The sequence below is a fragment of the Homo sapiens genome, chromosome 1 (assembly GCF_000001405.40).
Source record: "Homo sapiens chromosome 1, GRCh38.p14 Primary Assembly".
Classification (NCBI taxonomy): Eukaryota; Metazoa; Chordata; class Mammalia; order Primates; family Hominidae; genus Homo; species Homo sapiens.
In genome coordinates, this window is record NC_000001.11 from 161972174 (window position 1) to 161988817 (window position 16644).

The following is a 16644-nucleotide window of genomic DNA, read 5'->3' on the forward strand; positions in this document are numbered from 1 at the left end:
GACTGTCCTCTTCCCCCAGACTGTCCTCTCCCTCAGACTGTCCTGTCCCTCAGACTGTCATCTCCCCCCAGACTGTCCTCTCTCCCTGACTGTCATCTCCCCTGGACTATCCTGCCAGCTAGGTTTGAGGTGCTCTGGGGATTCACAGGACAGTGGTTTGTGCCCCACAGTGGAAAGCCGCCTTGCATGCCTCCAGACAGCAGTTTCCTGCAGAAGAGCCGCCTGGGGCCTCCGCTCCTCACCGCCTGACTGAACTCCCTTCTCTCTGCGCGGCTTCATGTCCATCCTGACCAATGGCCTGGCCTCACAGAAGAACAAAATGTGGACTGGCTTTCCTCAGAGTAAGAAATGCAGCAGAGCCTGGGGTCAGTGCCAGCTACTGGCCCTTCTTTTTCAAGAGAGAGGAGAGAAGTTAGGGGTGGGGTTCACCCTGGGTACCCAGGGGCCTGTCTCCTGCAGATCTGCAGAGAATAGGCCAGTGCGTTCTGCAGGAATGCCGTAACCCCAAGGGTGTTCCAGTGAAGGCCCTTTCTGTTCTGAAAATGTGCCACAGCAGGGTATGGCCACTCCATAACAGAAGTGGCCATTGTGAGGTGAGGGAGTCAGCACAGGGCTAGGGTCTTTCGGGGGCAGAGGGGAATTCCACTGCTGGAAGAGAGGGCTAGAGGGGCAGGGTGAACTAGGGGCCACTGGGCCCTGGTGGGTTCTAGGGGCTGTTGAAGGGTCAGAAGTCCTTCTGTGTGACCAGAACTGGAGCTCTCTGATGGCAGCCGACATCAGCCCATCAGCCCCTCTACTCTCCTGGCCGCGCTCTGACAGGACACAGAGACGTCCTCCAGCAACCAGGCTAGGGAGGAAAGCACACACAGGCGTGAGTAGCTGGGAGGCGGCCAGATGCCAGGCAGGCTAAGACAAAGGTGCGGAAGCCCAAGGGAGAGGGGAGGAGAGGATGGGGCTGGGGCCTTCCTGTGGGAGGTGGGCTTTGGCTAAGGCCTAAGGGAGTGGGAGAGGTCAGTCAGGTCGTGACTGGGGAAGGACGCCTGTCCAGGCATGGCAGGGGTGAGAACAGCTTGAGCACAGGCAGGGAAGAGATACTCAGGAGCCATTGCAGCCTCCTGGCAAAGGCCTGTTTGGCCCCGGCAGAAGTGAAGCTGGTGGGTAGACAACTTTCTGCATTCAAATACCACTTCGATGTGAAATCGGTGTTGAACAACCCTCCGAGGGCTCACATGGTTCCTCGAACTTGGGTAGCTCTGTCTCAAGAGAGTCATGCTGGAAGAGGTCCCCAGCAGGAGCTATGCAGGTGTCAGCCTGCAAAGTTGAGTCTGTTTCTTCGGAAGTCACAGAGCATTGCTCTTCTTCAGTGACCAAACACACCTCGTGTCCTCAGAGTCCTTGAGCCCAGTAGCCCTGGGGTGCAGGAATCCCTCCCACAGTGCTCTTGACAGGAGTCAATCTGGACCCTGAAGCTCTCAGTGGCCCTTCCACTAGAGGAAGAACGAGTGTTGACCCTTCCCAATGGAATCCACATGTATTGAGCCCTCCTATGAGCCTAGGGGTCTACACGGCCTGTTCCTCCTTATACGGCTGACTGGACAAGGGGTGGATATGGTCAGTCCACATGCTCAGCATGGACAGATGAGCTGAGCCCCTCAGGAGTCTGAAGAGGATGGGGAGTCGTGGATGCTCGAGCTCGGGCGGCTTGGGGAGGCTCCTTGTGCTGCTGCTGAGCAGAAGTGAGAGAGCTCTGAGGGCTCAGAGGAGTATAATCCCAGCACTTTGGGAGGACTGACACAGTTCCAGAATTTCCTGTCCCGGTCCCTGAGAGGAGCATGAAGCTTCACTGAGTATCTGTGGGACTGCCTGGGGCGCTCTCACAGCTAGCTTCTCTTTGAACCAGGCTGAGTGGGTTTCTGATCTCCACAACCAAGACATCCTTGCTAAGCGCACAGCCCTCGGGCCTCTCCTAACCTCTGGGCTCAGGGGGGAAAAGCCAGCTTATCACAGAGGTTGGAGGGTGGAGCTGGGGTTCTTCTGAGGGCAGCTGGCAGACCTCCCACTTTTCTGTCCAACCCCAGACTTTCCTCTCCAACTCCAGACTTTCCTCTCCAAACCATAACTGAAGTTGCTGTGTGACTCTGGGAAGTTCACCAGCGTTTTCCAGCCCTTTCCTGGCACCTGCTGCTGCTGGCCGCACTTTAACTCCCTCAGGCACTGCCAAATTTTCCTTGGTGCTCCAGAGCCAGGCAGGCTCCTCCAGAAAGAGAGAGCTCAGCTGAGGTCACATGGAAAATAACCCCAGAGCAGGGCCTGGCCCCAGGTTGCCTCAGCCAACCTCCCTTTGTTCTTGTTCTTTCTCTCTCTCTCTCTCTCTCTCTCTCAACTGGCCTGTCTTACCATGTGTCAAATTGCATTCCCCTAACCATAGGAATACTATGCAGTAAAAGTTTGATGCAACTTGTCTGCATCTAATTGCTCTGGGAAAGCTTTAAAAATAGAGAACTCCAGGGATTCCGTGCCACGATGACATCTTTGTCACTGTTGGCTTCCAGACTACAAGCCCTTCCAGTGGGAAAACTCGCAGCACAGACAAACCTTGCTTTACACCATAATACATTTCTGAAGAGTCACAGATAATCTGCTCATTTATATTCTGCCTTATTCCAGAAAAAAAAAGTCACAGCATACACCAAGGCAGCAAACTAGAGATAAAGGAACATTAAAAAAACAAAAACAAAACAAAACAAACAAGCAAACAAACAAAAAACATAAAATAGAACCAGGAGAGACACAAAGGCAACGTGGACACCATCAAAATCCTACATGCTTGCTATGAACTTTAAACTTTCCAGCAGGTAGTAGGAAAAGAGAAATTCAGTTGAACAAAGAGTTGTGTATACACTGAACTTTGGAAAATTGAATCATATTTCAAATATATTAGTGGAATTGTTTTCAGTAGACATCTGGTTTTGTTTTTTGGTTTTTATTTGTTTGTTTTTGTCTGCTCAACAGCCCTTCACTGGGGGAACTGGCCCTTCCCGACTTGGTGTGATTAGGGTGGAGCTGTCAACCACAGAATCCGACCCTGGTGACAAGGTGGTCTTTGGACCCAAGCTCACTAACCAGACTCTCTCCTAAAAATTTGTGTCTTGAATGGAGACAACTGGGTTCTATGCATGGCTGAAACAGAAGCTCCCATGAAGGTATCTTCAAAGAGAATGTCCTGCTGCCCAGAGCCAGCCTGCTTCTTGCCTTCCCATGGCCTGATTTTCCAGGTTTTCTTTTGAGTCTGTGAACTTCCAAGTATCCTCCTAATAAATTCCTCTTTGCCTAAGCTAGAAAAACTCTATTTCTATTGCTTAAAACCAAGGATTCCTAAAGTCCATAAGGAATATTAGAATGCTCTCAAAAAGCAAATATTCCTTCTGTGTTGTCTTCTTGGAAAGTCATAGTCCCAGACATTTTCTTGGTGCCCATTTGTGATTTCATGATGGTTGGGGACACACTGAGAAAGTCAAGCATTGATGGAGGAGGTAGGGAAGACGACCTGGCTGTTGAGGGTACATGGGCAGCCACATGAAGCTCCCTGGTCAGGAGGGCTGAAGTCACCCACCAAACCCCCCCAGGATCAAGGCCTCAGACACTGAATATTGCTTGTCTGTGCTCAACAAAAACCCCAAGTTGTCATATTTCCTGTTAATTGTATAACTGGTTGAGAAACTAGGCATAATTCTGTGTCTCTTCCTTTCAAGTGGGGAAACAGCCCATTATCCTCACTGAGACCTTGGCGACGTAAGATGAACAGGACACGTCTTGGGCTCACAGATGACCGCAGGGTGGAGATTGTTGGCCCTTGCAGCGATTCTCTCTTAAGAGTGGCCTGCACTTCTCAAGCTTCAACTTCCTGAGTTCCAGCAACCAGATCCACCTGGTCTGTGGGCATTGCACTGTGAGTCTGTGGGCAGGATAGCCTTGAGAAAAGCACTGTTTGAGAATGGCTCCCCAAATACAGATTGCAGGAAGGCCTGTGACTTTGGTCACGTTCCTGTTTGGGAAGGCACTGATGTGACCTTGAATTTTGTATGGCCAAGATTAATTCCTTGTTCATTCATTTATTCATTTAGCACATCCCTAATGAGCAGGTATTGTGAGTCAGGCTCTGTGCTAAGTGCTGCGGAGAATCCTGGGTGAATAAGGAACAGCCTCTGCTTTTCCAGAGAGAGAAACTTCACTGAACTGATCAGATTTGTTCTAATACATGCAAAATACAAATACATGCAAAAAAAGACACATGTAGTCAGTGCCATGCATGGTAGTAAGGGCTACTGTTGCTCCAGTTAAGGAATCGGACAAGACTTTACTTGAGCTGGATCTTGAGGACAGTCTAAGGTGTCAAGAAGGGCAGGGTGGCTGGGAAGGCATCCTTGGAGGAGGGAACTGCCAAAGCATTATGGGGTATAAGAGTGGGAGTTTTCAGCCAAGGCCCCAGGAGATGCCAGATCTCACATTCCAAAGGATGGGCCAGACCGCAGGCAACATTCACCAAAGAGGTGTCCGGAAACTGGTTAGAGACTTTTAAACTCTTCAACCACATTAAGAGTGTAAAAGAATTGAGAATTGGAAACTTTGAAAGAGGATGTTAGAAGAGGATTCCTCTGGAGAGAGCTTTCTGGAGTCCCACCCCTTCCACCCTGGGGCGAGACGTGCCTGCCCTTTATCTTAGGGCTAAGGGAAGAGAGTTTTAAGTGAACTTCTTGGGGCACATAGTCCATGTTCTTTGCAGTTTGGGGCTAACAGTGGACCAGTGATGCACTCCCATTTGGGAGACCTAACGAGAGAAGGTGGGCTGGCTAGCTACTCTTCAGCAAAGACGACTTAGCTGAGGACCAACCTGCACTCCAGCTTTGTCAGGATACATCATGTACGGGAATTTTCTGTGCACCAGATATGTCCATGAATGGGGTCATCTTAAGTCCTATCCAAGTGGACCATTTAGAGTGGCAGAGATACCAGTAGAATCAGCCAGATGTACCCCTAGATTTCTAAGGGCTGGGGAAGGGGAGGACAACCAGCCGGAATGGAGAAGCTTTAGTCCATGTGAAGAGACAGTGACAAGGCATCCCTAGCAAAAAGGGGGAGTTCTTCAAAGAACCCACAAAAGTGCTCAGGAGACTTTAAGCACCTCTCAGGAGTGCTAGACCCTATGACTTTACCCACAGAGTAACACCTTTCCTGCCCCCTTTGTCCTCCCCTCTTTCTCCTGCTCAACTCTGGAAGGGCAGGTACCAAAGTTAGCCATGGGGGAAGTGGATGACCCCTCACCAGTGGCCTCAGCAAGGACGAGGCTGGGAGCAGCAACCTGAAGTCAAGTTCAACATTCTGATGATTAAAATGGACTGGCTGTTTCAATTACCCAACAGAGTCTGTGTTGTTCTTGTTTTAATTTAAAATGACCACAGGACTTTTTATTACCTGAGAGTTGCCAGAGAAATCAAGGGGTCTGTCCAAGTTTTCGTCCAGGAGAAGGAAAAGAACTAGACCCACCAAATAAATTCATGGGGATATTGACAGGAAAAAACCAAACCTGCTTGATGACTACTGCCCAGGAGGCACTCTTATTTAACCTGACAGTGGTTACAGGGACAGGACCAAAGCAAGATTCATCTGTCAGCATGGGAACTGCAGATGTGTGGGGGTGGGAGGGGACCAAGGAGGCAGGCAGAACATGTATGGGGTGTTTGCAATGCATCATCCTAGGGTGGTGAGGTTGACAAAAGGCACTGAAAAGAGTAGGACAAATACGGAAAATATGGAGCACCAAGTTCACAGCATCACAATGAAGTCTTTTGTCAAAAATGTCTCTCCTAAATCTAATCAAGCTTTTAGATCTAACCTCCACTTTAAGGCAAAAGCTGGAAAGAGGATGTTTTAGGCCCTTCAGACTACTATTGAAAAGGGAGAGTTCCCTGATTCCCCTGGCAGCAGGCGAGACAGGGGTGTGGTTCGCCTGCTCAGTCGCCCAGCAACCCCTAGGGACACGTGCAGAGGCCGGCGCATCTGCTTTTGGGCTTTGGCTCCACAGCAGCGTCTAGGGGCGGATGTCTGCGACTCCGGAAGCCCAGGTAGACGTGTGTCACAAGGCTCTTTCAGATTTGCTGTCTGAAGACGGCTTGTGTGTTAATCAGCTCAATGGACCCTCTGCCTTCTGTATCCCCAGCTCTTGCCCAGTGTCCCGAAAGAATCGGATCACACGCAAGCTCGAAGTATGAGTGCAGGGTTTTATTGAGTGACAGAGGTGGCTCTCCGAGAGATGGATGGGGAACCAGAACGGGGGGATGCAGTGGGAAGGTGGTCTTCCCCTGGAGTCGGGCTGCCCAGTGGCTGGACTCTTCTCCGACCGTCCCCGGGCGAACTCCCGTCGGTATCCAGGCGTCCCTCCTGGTCTCTCTTTCTCTGCCGCATTGTTCCGCCGTTGCTGGTCTGCTAGTCCCAATGTTCCCTATTGGGGGAACTGCCAAGCTACTTGTGTGTTCCCGCTAAGGTCTTGGGTTTATATGGGGGCAGGATGCAGGGTGCGTGGGGGATCAAAAGGCAACTTTTTGGGCTCAAAAACAGAAATGTCTGTCCTCAATTAGGGCTGTGTGTCTTCAGGCTTGAGGGTGGGGCCTTTGCTGGGGAACTGCCCTCTTCTACCCAGTATTTCCCTGTCTCCTGTCTGTATCACTATAACAAAAATACCCTAGACTGGGTAATTTATAAACAACAGAAACTTATAGCTTACAGTTCTGGAGGCTGGTAATTCCAGGATCAAGGCACCGGCAGGTTTAGTGTCCGGTGAGGGCACTTCTGCTTCCTAGATGACTCCTTGCTGCTGTGCCCTCACATGGCCAAAGGGGCAAGGGGCCTCCTTGGAGCTTCTGTTTTTGTTTTTGTTTTTGTTTTTTTTGAGACCGAATTTTGCTCTTGTTGCCCAGGCTGGGGTGCAGTGCTGCGATCTCGGCTCTCTGCAACCTCCACCTCCTGGGTTCAAGCAATTCTCCTGCCTCAGCCTCCCAAGTAGCTAGGATTGCAGGCACCCATGACCACACCTGGCTAATTTTTGTATTTTTAGTAGAGATGGGGTTTCACCATGTTGGCCAGGCTAGTCTTGAACACCTGACCTCAGGTGATCTACCGGCCTTGGCCTCCCAAAGTGCTGGGATTACAGGTGTGAGCCACTACATCCCGCCCTTGGAGCTTCTTTTAATTCCATCATGAGGGCTCTGTCCTCATGGCCTAATCCTCCCAACAGCGTCACACTGGGGAGTAAGTTTTAAAATAAGAATTTGGGGGTGGGGGGAACAAACATTCAGACCATGGCAGAGGAATAAACTAAATGACACCTGAAGGAGGTAATCAGATAAATCCAGAAAGTGATGTGTCACCAAAAACCCAACACAGTTTCTTCAGCAAATCAAAGACATGAAAGAAAGATGTCGGGCAGGGAGAATCATGCTAGATGAAAAGAGGCTTAACTGGAGCTGACAATAATTCACTAATATGGGTTTCTTGAGCTTTGACAAATACTATGTTATGCAAGATGTTAATATTAGGGGGAACTACTTGAAGGGTGTGCAGGAACTCTCTTTCCTACTTTGCAACTTTTCTGTAAATTTAAAATTATTCCAAAATGAAAAGTTGACAGGAGAGGAGGGGAGAGGAAAGGAGAGGAGGTAGAGGGAGATTTCAGATACAAAAACATAATTCAGTGTGTGGATACTGATTGATCCTGGTTCAAAGTCCCAGCTATACAAGACACTTTTGGGAACATTGGGGAAATTAAATTTGGGTTGTATGTTATTGATTTTAAGGAATCATAATTAATCTTGTTAGGTTAAGTTTATATTAAAAATTTCCTTAAGAGATACTTACGAAAGTGTTTGGGTAAAATGTCATGCTGTCCTTAATTTAAAATATTTGCACAAAAAAGTTTGTAAAAGATGAAAGGCTGGGTGCAGGGGTTTATGCCTATAGTCTCAGCTACTGGGAAGACCAAGGCAGGAGGATCACTTGAGGCCAGAAGTTCAAGACCAGCCTGGGCAACATAGGGAGCCTCTATTGCTACAGAAAGTAAACAATAACAAAGTTAGCTGGGTTTAGTGGCACGTGCCTATAGTCCTAGCTACTCGGGAGGCTGAGGCACGAGGATGGCTTGAGCCCAGGAGTTCAAGCCTACAATGAGCTATGATCACACCACTGTACTCCAGCCTGGGCAACAGAGTGAGACCCTGTCTTAAAAAGAAAGAAAGAAAGAAAGAAAAGATGAAGCAAATATAACAAAATATTGATGATTGTCATATCTTAGTGATGGGAATGTGGAGTTTGTTACACTTTCCTCTCTATTTTTTTGTATGATTGAAGGTTTTCATAATAAAAAGCTATATAATTATGTGTCAATTAAAAAACAAAGAGTATTGAATGCCTGTTACTTGCCTTGTGTTTCATAACGTTGTTTCATTATGTCCCCAAACAGCCCTGTAAAAAAGATTCATTACTCGCTTTTTAAAGAGGAGGAAAATGAGGCTCAGAGAAGTCCGATGTCTTATCCAAGATCATAAGCCAGACTGGGCAGAGCTGGGATTTGGCCATGAGAGCCCACTGTGTCCCACCATGCCTCTGTGGGAGGAAAGGACCTGAGGTCCGGGTAATTAAGTTGTTATGGAGACCCCGGGAGCAGGGAGTAAACAGAGGGCCCCTAAGCTTATATCCCAGGGGACCAGGAGATCGTCAGGGAATGCCAAAGGCGGAGCTGGTTTGGGAAATCAAGTTAAGGAATTTCACTTTAGACCGTGATAACGGCCAGTGTTTTACACTCTTTTACTTGCCTTGCTTTACTTGAATCTTCATGAATCTACCCTTCTTGCAGACAGAATGTGGTCCTTTTTACAGACGGCAGACAGGCTCAGAGAGGTCTTATCCAAGGTTTCACAAATGCCAAGTTGGAGAGCTGGGACTAAGACCCAGCCCCTGGAGATGGTCTTCTCCATCAAACACCCATCTTCACGGTGGGGAAGGAAGCAGGCAGGAAGAAGGCCTGCGCACCATCACCCAGCTGTGCTCAACTGTGTTGGATGCCGAGCGACAGCAGAATGCACCTTGTTCCTGCCCAGGGTGCTGGGTTGGTTGCAGGTGCTTCCACCAGCCTCACTTGGGGTGCCCGTGGGGCCCCTTCAGGCCTCTAGCTCCCTACTGTCTGCTTGCCCACAGCCTTCAGGTCTGAGATTCGCTCAACCCCTCTGCCTTCCGTTTCTGCTCCATATCCCCTGATCAGATGGCTTTCTCGGACCTGTTCTTGTAAACTTCAACCCCCTCCCTTCCCATCTTTCCCTGCTTTATTTTATTGTCACCTGTCACATTACACGTAATGTATTTCTTTTTCTCTCTCCCTGTCTAGAATATAAGCTTCAGGAGGGCAGGGACTTTGTGTTATTTACTCCCATCCCCAGTCAGGGCTCCATAAATATTTACTGAATGAATAAATGTACACATAAATCAATGAATGTAAAAAGAATGAAAGGATAAATTGTTAGGAATTTTTTCTCTACTTTTGAAATATACTGTTGGGAAGTCTTTTAACAGGAAAAAAAATAAATATATTTCCCATCAGTATCAAGCAATTAAAATGCTCTAAGTTTGACGAGGTATTATAGAGCTGGAGAAGACTCAGCCAGCAAGTCTGAGGGCTGGGAAACACCCCCTCATTTTACAGGTGAGGGCAGAGGCCCAGAAGGGTGGGGCTGCGGGTCTCAGGTCTTGCCCTAGGCGGCAGCAGGTGGAGCATAGCCTGGTCATGATTCTGCTCTTTAGGCTTTGGAGAAACTCATTCTTTGTTTAAATCTTGGTGTTTAAGTCTTGGTGTTTCCAAAGTTTAACCCCACAAAAGAAAGCTGCTTGAAGAAGTCCTGGATGTTGTGCTCAGGGAAAACATTAACGACCACCCAGCTTCAGGCCTGCGGTTACCCCTGCCTCTGCTTCCTCCTTCCGGCATGTGGGAGGAACCTGAGAAGTGTCCTCACCTGGCCTGAGTGGGCAGTTTGGCTCTAAAACCAATTGATTCACCCAGACAAGCTGCAGCCGGCCTCCCTGGAGGGCTGTTCCTCATGGCCCCCCACCTTGTTCTCTACACAGCGGGGGTGCTCCCTGGTGTGACCCTCTAACTTGGGGTCAGGAAGTGAGGCCGCCTACAGAGGGGTCGGGAGGAGGCTGAGGGGAGCTGCAACAGGAGAGCTGTGCTGATCTCCCTGCGGCATCCCTGGGTCCTGCCCTCCTTCATAACCTCAGGAGATGCCTGTTCAGGCTTTTTCAGATGTTCTATCTCCTGTTTTGTGTAATGTGGAGGAAAAAAATCACACTTGTGGACAGCAGGCACTGCACAGGGCTCAGCCCTGCACCGGGAGGGGCTGCAGTTCTTCCCCATCCCTCAAGTGCTTCCCTCAAGGACCTTGTTTCAGAAAGGGGCCCCTTTCCTGGAAGGGAAGGTGGGAGGGAAAGCCTGGCCGAATGAGCTTGTTCAGGAAAAGGCAGACAGGGTTATGGGCAGAAGGAGAGAAGGGGAGAGAGATGGATTGATTGAGAACTTCTTAAGGAAGTGTGGGAACAAGGTCGCACTCACTCAGTTTTGTATTTTCAACAGTGCCTAAGACCAGACCTCGAGAAGCAGGGCTAATGAATGAACGGGTTCCCCAACCTTGGGTGAAGTGATCAGAGGAGTAGCAGAACAGAGCAAGGAAGCCAGTGTGACAGAAAAATGAAGAGATCAATGCCACAAAATTAAAGAGAACACGGGGGTCGCTCATTCCAAATCCCCCACCAGGAAGCCCCTATCAGGAGGGGAGGAGGAGCTCCTAGGAACTGAACTTGGACGCAGGCCACTTCAGCTAGAGAACATTTCTGAGGAACACCAGACCTCGTCTCCTTCCGGGAGCGGGATCCAACACCTGGCCAGACATATCGGTGCTGAACAAAAGTGCACTGGGGGATGATTTTAAATTTCTTCTTTATTAAAAAAAAAAAGCGTTTTTCTGGGTTTTTTAAAACTTCTCCAATACATTAAAACTTTTTTTCTCGCCACATAGCACTTCTTTCTTGCCTCTTTCATTTCTGCTCCTGGTGTTGCCTGCCTCCTGCAAGACCCAGATGAAGAAACCTTTTCAATGGTCGAGATCTGAGACTTGGAGCTGGAGGGGCTGAAGGCTTGAAGGAAGGTGGTTACTGGTCAAAAGGAGAAGTTCATTTGCACAAAAATATAAACTGGGGAGGATGAGACCAGCACATACACGTATGGATTGATCTACAATCCATATAAAAAAATAGACCCAAATTGTCATTTTACATTTGCAATATTATACAAAATAATATATATTTTTAAACAACACATACCCACCTACACACACGTGCGCGCACACACATACACACAAGGTGCTAGTGACCCCTCTGTGCTTCTGCTTGTGGGGACAAGGGTGTCAGTAGGCAAAGATGACATGGTAAGTGACCTGGTGGCCATTGTCCCAGGCATAGAGCAGGCGGTCCTTGGGGTTGTAGTCTATCTGGGTCGTATAGGAATACTCATTCTCGAACAGCAGCCTGGGGACGATCTGTGTGTTGGTGTGGGTGTCGAAAGCGTAGGAGATGTTGGCATTCCGCTGGTTGTAGCTATCCACGGCATACAGCACCCCACAGATGACGAAGCAGTTGCCGTAGAAATTCCTCCGGAGCCCCGTGCGCCATGTGGTCTCCTTCTGTGTGCTCAGGTCCGCGGCATTGAGCTTGCTCAGGACAATGACCTCCTGGCTGAAGCCCTCATCGTCCAGGGCCGGGTAGATGAGCCATAGGCCATTCTCGTCCACAGCAAAGTCCACGTCTGAGTGGCCCTGCCATCGCCAGGGGGTGGCCTCCTCGTAGGCCACGTCATGCAGCATGGCCCAGGCAGCCACGTAGCGCTGCTTCAGGTCGTACTTGATGATGTTGCGGGTGAAGGCGCGATTGTAGTAGAAGGCGCCATTGTATACCACGTGGCCTGTGCCGATCCAGCTGTACGGGAGCTTGTAGGAATTGCTCCAGCGACCTGCAGGTGGGGAGAAAACAGGAGGCTTCAGAGTGGCATGGCAGAGGGTGGGCAGCCCATGTGGTTAAGTGAGTGATGATCAACGAGGGGTCTGGAAACCCAGGTTTGTGTCTTGGCTCTGCCACTTTCTAGCATCCTGTAGCACATCACTCAACCTGTCCGTGCCTCAGTGTCCTTATCTGTCATAGGGAAGTGACAATTCCCATCTGCCTGTTTCAAGGATCCGGGGAGCTAATATACATGAATGTGGTTCATAAATTGTCAAGGGCTATGGGAAAGGGAGCCTGTCTTCTGGACTCGGAGGTTTTTCCATGTCCCAGGAGCTCAGGAGGAGGGGCAGAGCTGAGAGGCAGAGAATGTGAGGGAGTGGGGAAGGGGGACCGCTCTCCAAGGAAAGGTCCTTTAGCCATCAGAAGAAGGTGTCATCCTTCCTATCCGTCATTACCACCCAAAGAGGCCTGGCTGTGATAAAAACAGAGGACGTGGGGAAGGGAAGGAGCAGTCTGGGTTGGATCTTTATCATGTACCTTGTTTGAAGTTCTCCAGGTTCCGGAACTCTACCAGGGTGTTGCCGTAGTAATAGTTGGTTACGTAAATCCGCTCATCCTTGGCCAGGGGGTCCTTCATCCAGGCCCCTTCATTCCGCCCATATGTGTTCTGGGTGGTCGGCCCCGTGATTGTGGAGAGAGTGTCCTTGCACCTTCCTGGTGGAGAAGAGGTGGATGGAGGTTTTGGGCTGATCTAGTGATGCCTCACCCCTTAAACCTTTGCTGTTCATCCATTTAGAGTCTGGACTCCTCGGCAGGCTTTAACAGCCCTGTATAACCTGACCCCAAACATTTTTCCACACCATCTCCTGCTACTCCCCTGATCCACCCTACACTTGACCCTACACTTGAGCCTCCACCATGCCCATCTTTGGCAACTTTCACACCACTATGCTTTGCTCCTGTTCTGACTTCTCAGTCCTATCCTTCAAAGACCTAAGATCCAGAGTCCTTTTATGACATCATGCCCTCCTCTGGAGAACTATTCTATTCTATTCCATTCAGCTCTCAGGGTACCATGAATGCTGCTCTCTTACAGAGCATGTCATCCTGCATCTCCACAATGTTTGTGCTTCTCTCTCCTCCCTCCACGCCTGCCCCCAACCGGAGCGTAAGCACCAAGGGATGAGGGAATGTGGCTTTTCCTCATTGCATTCTCAGTGCTCAGAACACGGTGTCTGGCTTGCTGCAGGCACCCAAATGTCTGATCCCAGGGTGAACACACAGCATGAGAAGTGTGGCCAGAGGAGAGGCCTCTGCTGGGTGTAACCAGGAACTCGGCTCTGCCAGCTGCTGAGCTGCCCCAGGCTGTGGGACCAGCCCTAGTGGAGCAATGGCTATTCATGTCCCTGAGGCCCACCTGCTGTCCTAGAGAGCTGTCCCCAAGCCTAAGCCCCTGTCACTACTGGGAGCAGGATGCCAGGGCCCTCTGCTGGGTAACTGGGGGGCAAGATACCAAGTTCTTGAATAAGGAGCTGACTCTGGGTATAGAAGCCTCCTTCAGAGATCAAGTCGGCCACGATGGGACAGGAACTCAGCAACGTCCTTCTGAGTGGCTCTGGATCCGGTGCCCAGGAGAGGCCCTAAAAAGCCACTGGAACTATACTGGGTTCTAGATGAAGTTGAGAGCCTGCAATGCTTATATGCAGTATTATTATTGAGCATAGCCTTGAATGATAGTGAAGTCACACGTGACTAAGGGCATGTGCTCTTCCTGTCCTCACACTTGTGGATTATGGAGGAGGTGGGAAGAGGGCAGTGGAAGGGGGCAGTGAGAGAGCCACATGAATGCTGCCCTCACAGCTTCCTTACCCCCTGCTGGCAGCTGGGGCCAGCAGAACCCCTGCCCCACCTGCCATCATGACGACACTGATGGGTGATGAGAATAATTGGTCCTTGACACTCACCTGGGACAAAAGTAACAAAAGACCCTACAGTTTGGCTTCCAGAGTTCTCTAAATTCTAGGTCACCCTCATTTCCAAACTGTTCCAATCCGTTCCATCTACTCTGCTCCCCGCAGTGGTTTGAGGAAGGAGTCCAAGCCCTGCAGCTGACAGGACAGGAGCAAGCAGCTGGGCCCTTGGCCCTGGGTCTGGGGCAGCTGGGGATGGAAGAGGCATGAACACTGTTTTGCAGGCAGGCCCCATAGCTGGGTGCAGTTGGCAGGGTTTAGGCAGCTCAGTGTGGGGTTTATTAGGTCCTGGTCTGACGGAGCGGGGAGAGATTCAGTCTCCATAAGACAAACAAAAGAACCTCCCTGCCAATGCCTCATTCCCCCAGAGCTGAGCTCATCTGTTCAAGACAATAAAACAGAAAACTCTGACTGAGCCCTGGCAGCAGAGATTTGATGGAAAAGCTCTCATTCCCTGGAGCTAAGCAGGGCCCTGGCTGCCAATGAGGACGCCACGCTCCTTCTGCACTGAGGTGAGCCCTAGCTCACCATGAGGATTGCCATCACCGGGCAATCCTCTGCCCTGGCAAAGCTCAGAAAGGGCACCAATTCCCTGTCCAGCGGCATCCCTGGCTCATGCCCTCAAGCCCCACAGATGGCCATGAGGTGAGGTGTTTTCTGTCTGGGGATTACCATGGCCATGCCACCTCTCTGACCAAACACAGAAATTGCAGATGGACTCTTGAAAGCCAGGACTCGTCTGTGCAGCTCCAGCAGCCCTGAAAATCCCTGCAGGGTTCCGTCTCACACCAAGGCTCTGCAGTGGCAGGGCCCTAATGCTGGGCTATAGATGTGCCCCAGGCTGGGGCCAGAGGCCTGGCTCTGCTCTTGGCCCAGCCACCAACTCCAAAGTCTGTTGCAACTGTAATGTCAAAAAGTTTTAATCTCTTCAGAAGTAAAATGATTGTAATGCATGCCCTGCCTCCTTCACCAGAGTGCATGGAGAGTCCCCTCTGAAGATGATGTGGTAGACTGAGTAATATACCCCTGAGATATCCAGGTCCAAATCCCTGGAGCCTGTGATTGGGACAAAAGGAAACAAAGGGGACTTTGCAAATGTGATTACATAAAAAAAATCCTGAGATGGGGAGACTATACTGGACTATCTGGGTGGTCCTATTGAATAAATACAGTCACAAGTATCCTTATGACACAGAGGCAAAGGGAGATTTGACCACAAGAGAGGAGGAAGCAATGTGATGAAAAAAGCAAAGACTGAAGTGATGTGGCCACAAGCCAAAGAATGCTGGCAGCCATGAGAAGCTGGAAAAGGCAAGAAACGGATTCTCCCCTCAAGCCTCTGGAAAGAACCAGCCCTTCTGATACCTTGATTTTAGCCCTGCAAGACTCATTTTGAATTTCTGGCCTCCAGAACTGTTAGAGAGTACATTTCTGTTTTTAGCAACTAAGCTTGTGGCAATTTGGAGGCATAGGAAATGGATACAGATGGAGTCAGCTTCTTGGGTTAGGGCACCCTTATTTCTGCAGGAAGAGGGGAGTCCCCGCTTGCATTTTCATAGTCCTAGTACTAGGACCTCAGGCTGCATTTTCACATGCCCTCAGAGAGAGCAAACACTGCTGCCCTGCGGATGAGCCCAGGCAGGACAAATGCAAATGATTTCAGAGCATTTGAAGACAGGATCAAGGGAAGAGATCAGTAAACCATGAGACCCAGACGCATCACTGTGCTCTGAGAATCTGGGGCAGCTCAGATGCTCCCACACTTGGCAGCAAACCATCAGCTTTGGAGAGAAGGTACTGTATGTTGACTCCTCTTCAAGGGGGATGACAGAAAGATGGGAGAAAGTTCAAAGGAACTGCAGACAGGAGAGTGCAGTCTGCATCTCATCTTAGGTTTTCCCAGAGCAGGGCTGCCAAGGATGCCGGTGACACTGACATTTACTACGCACTTTCTATGTATTCTGTCGTTTAACCAACAGTCCTGGGAGACAGCTGGTCCTGTTTCAAACGTTACCAGGGTCTGAAAAGAAGGGGCCCTTCCCCTCAGCATATAAACCTCCTCAAATCTCAGCATTCTAAAAGAAATAAATCAGCAAGCAAGAGCCTTCCTGGCTCTCCCCAGCTCTCAGCTCTGGTGCTTACTTGGCAAGCTTCCCCAGTAGGGTCCTTGGGCGTCTGCTCCCCAACTAACCTCGTCAGCAATGCCTCTCAGCCCCTCAACCCGACTGCTGCCCCTTGGGGTGTTCTCCAGTCCTCTTATTCTAGTCAAGCCTCTGTTTTTTGCTTGGAAACTGAGGTAGCCACCCCCCACCCCCGCTGACACCCACCCACCCACCTCAGAAGGCATTTCCTTCCTCCCCCAGCTTCCACCACCACTCTCTCCTGGTCCCGCCCACCTGCCTGGTCTGGCCTTCTCCAGCTCTTTGGCTAGTGCTTCCTCTTCTGCCTGCTTTCAAATGCCACCCTCTGGAGTTCCACCTTCAGCCTCCTCCCTCCTCATTCTTCCTGCAGACTCAGCTCCTGCCAACAACTCAGCCCAGGTCCTGATTCTGAGCACCGTGAATCCATCCAACTACCTACA

General features: G+C 50.1%; 1 protein-coding gene across 4 annotated transcripts in view; it reads right to left on the reverse strand.

The window, feature by feature from the left end:
- OLFML2B (olfactomedin like 2B) overlaps positions 11019-16644 on the reverse strand; it is a 40678-nt gene continuing 35052 nt past the window's right edge. For all 4 annotated transcript variants that reach the window (NM_015441.3, NM_001297713.2, NM_001347700.2 and 1 more), the window contains 2 exons: positions 12631-12807; positions 11019-12103 (listed from right to left, as the gene is read on the reverse strand). In NM_015441.3, the coding sequence (NP_056256.1) occupies positions 11502-12103; positions 12631-12807 (779 nt within the window). In that variant the 3' untranslated portion in view covers positions 11019-11501. The remainder of the gene's footprint in view (positions 12104-12630; positions 12808-16644) is intronic.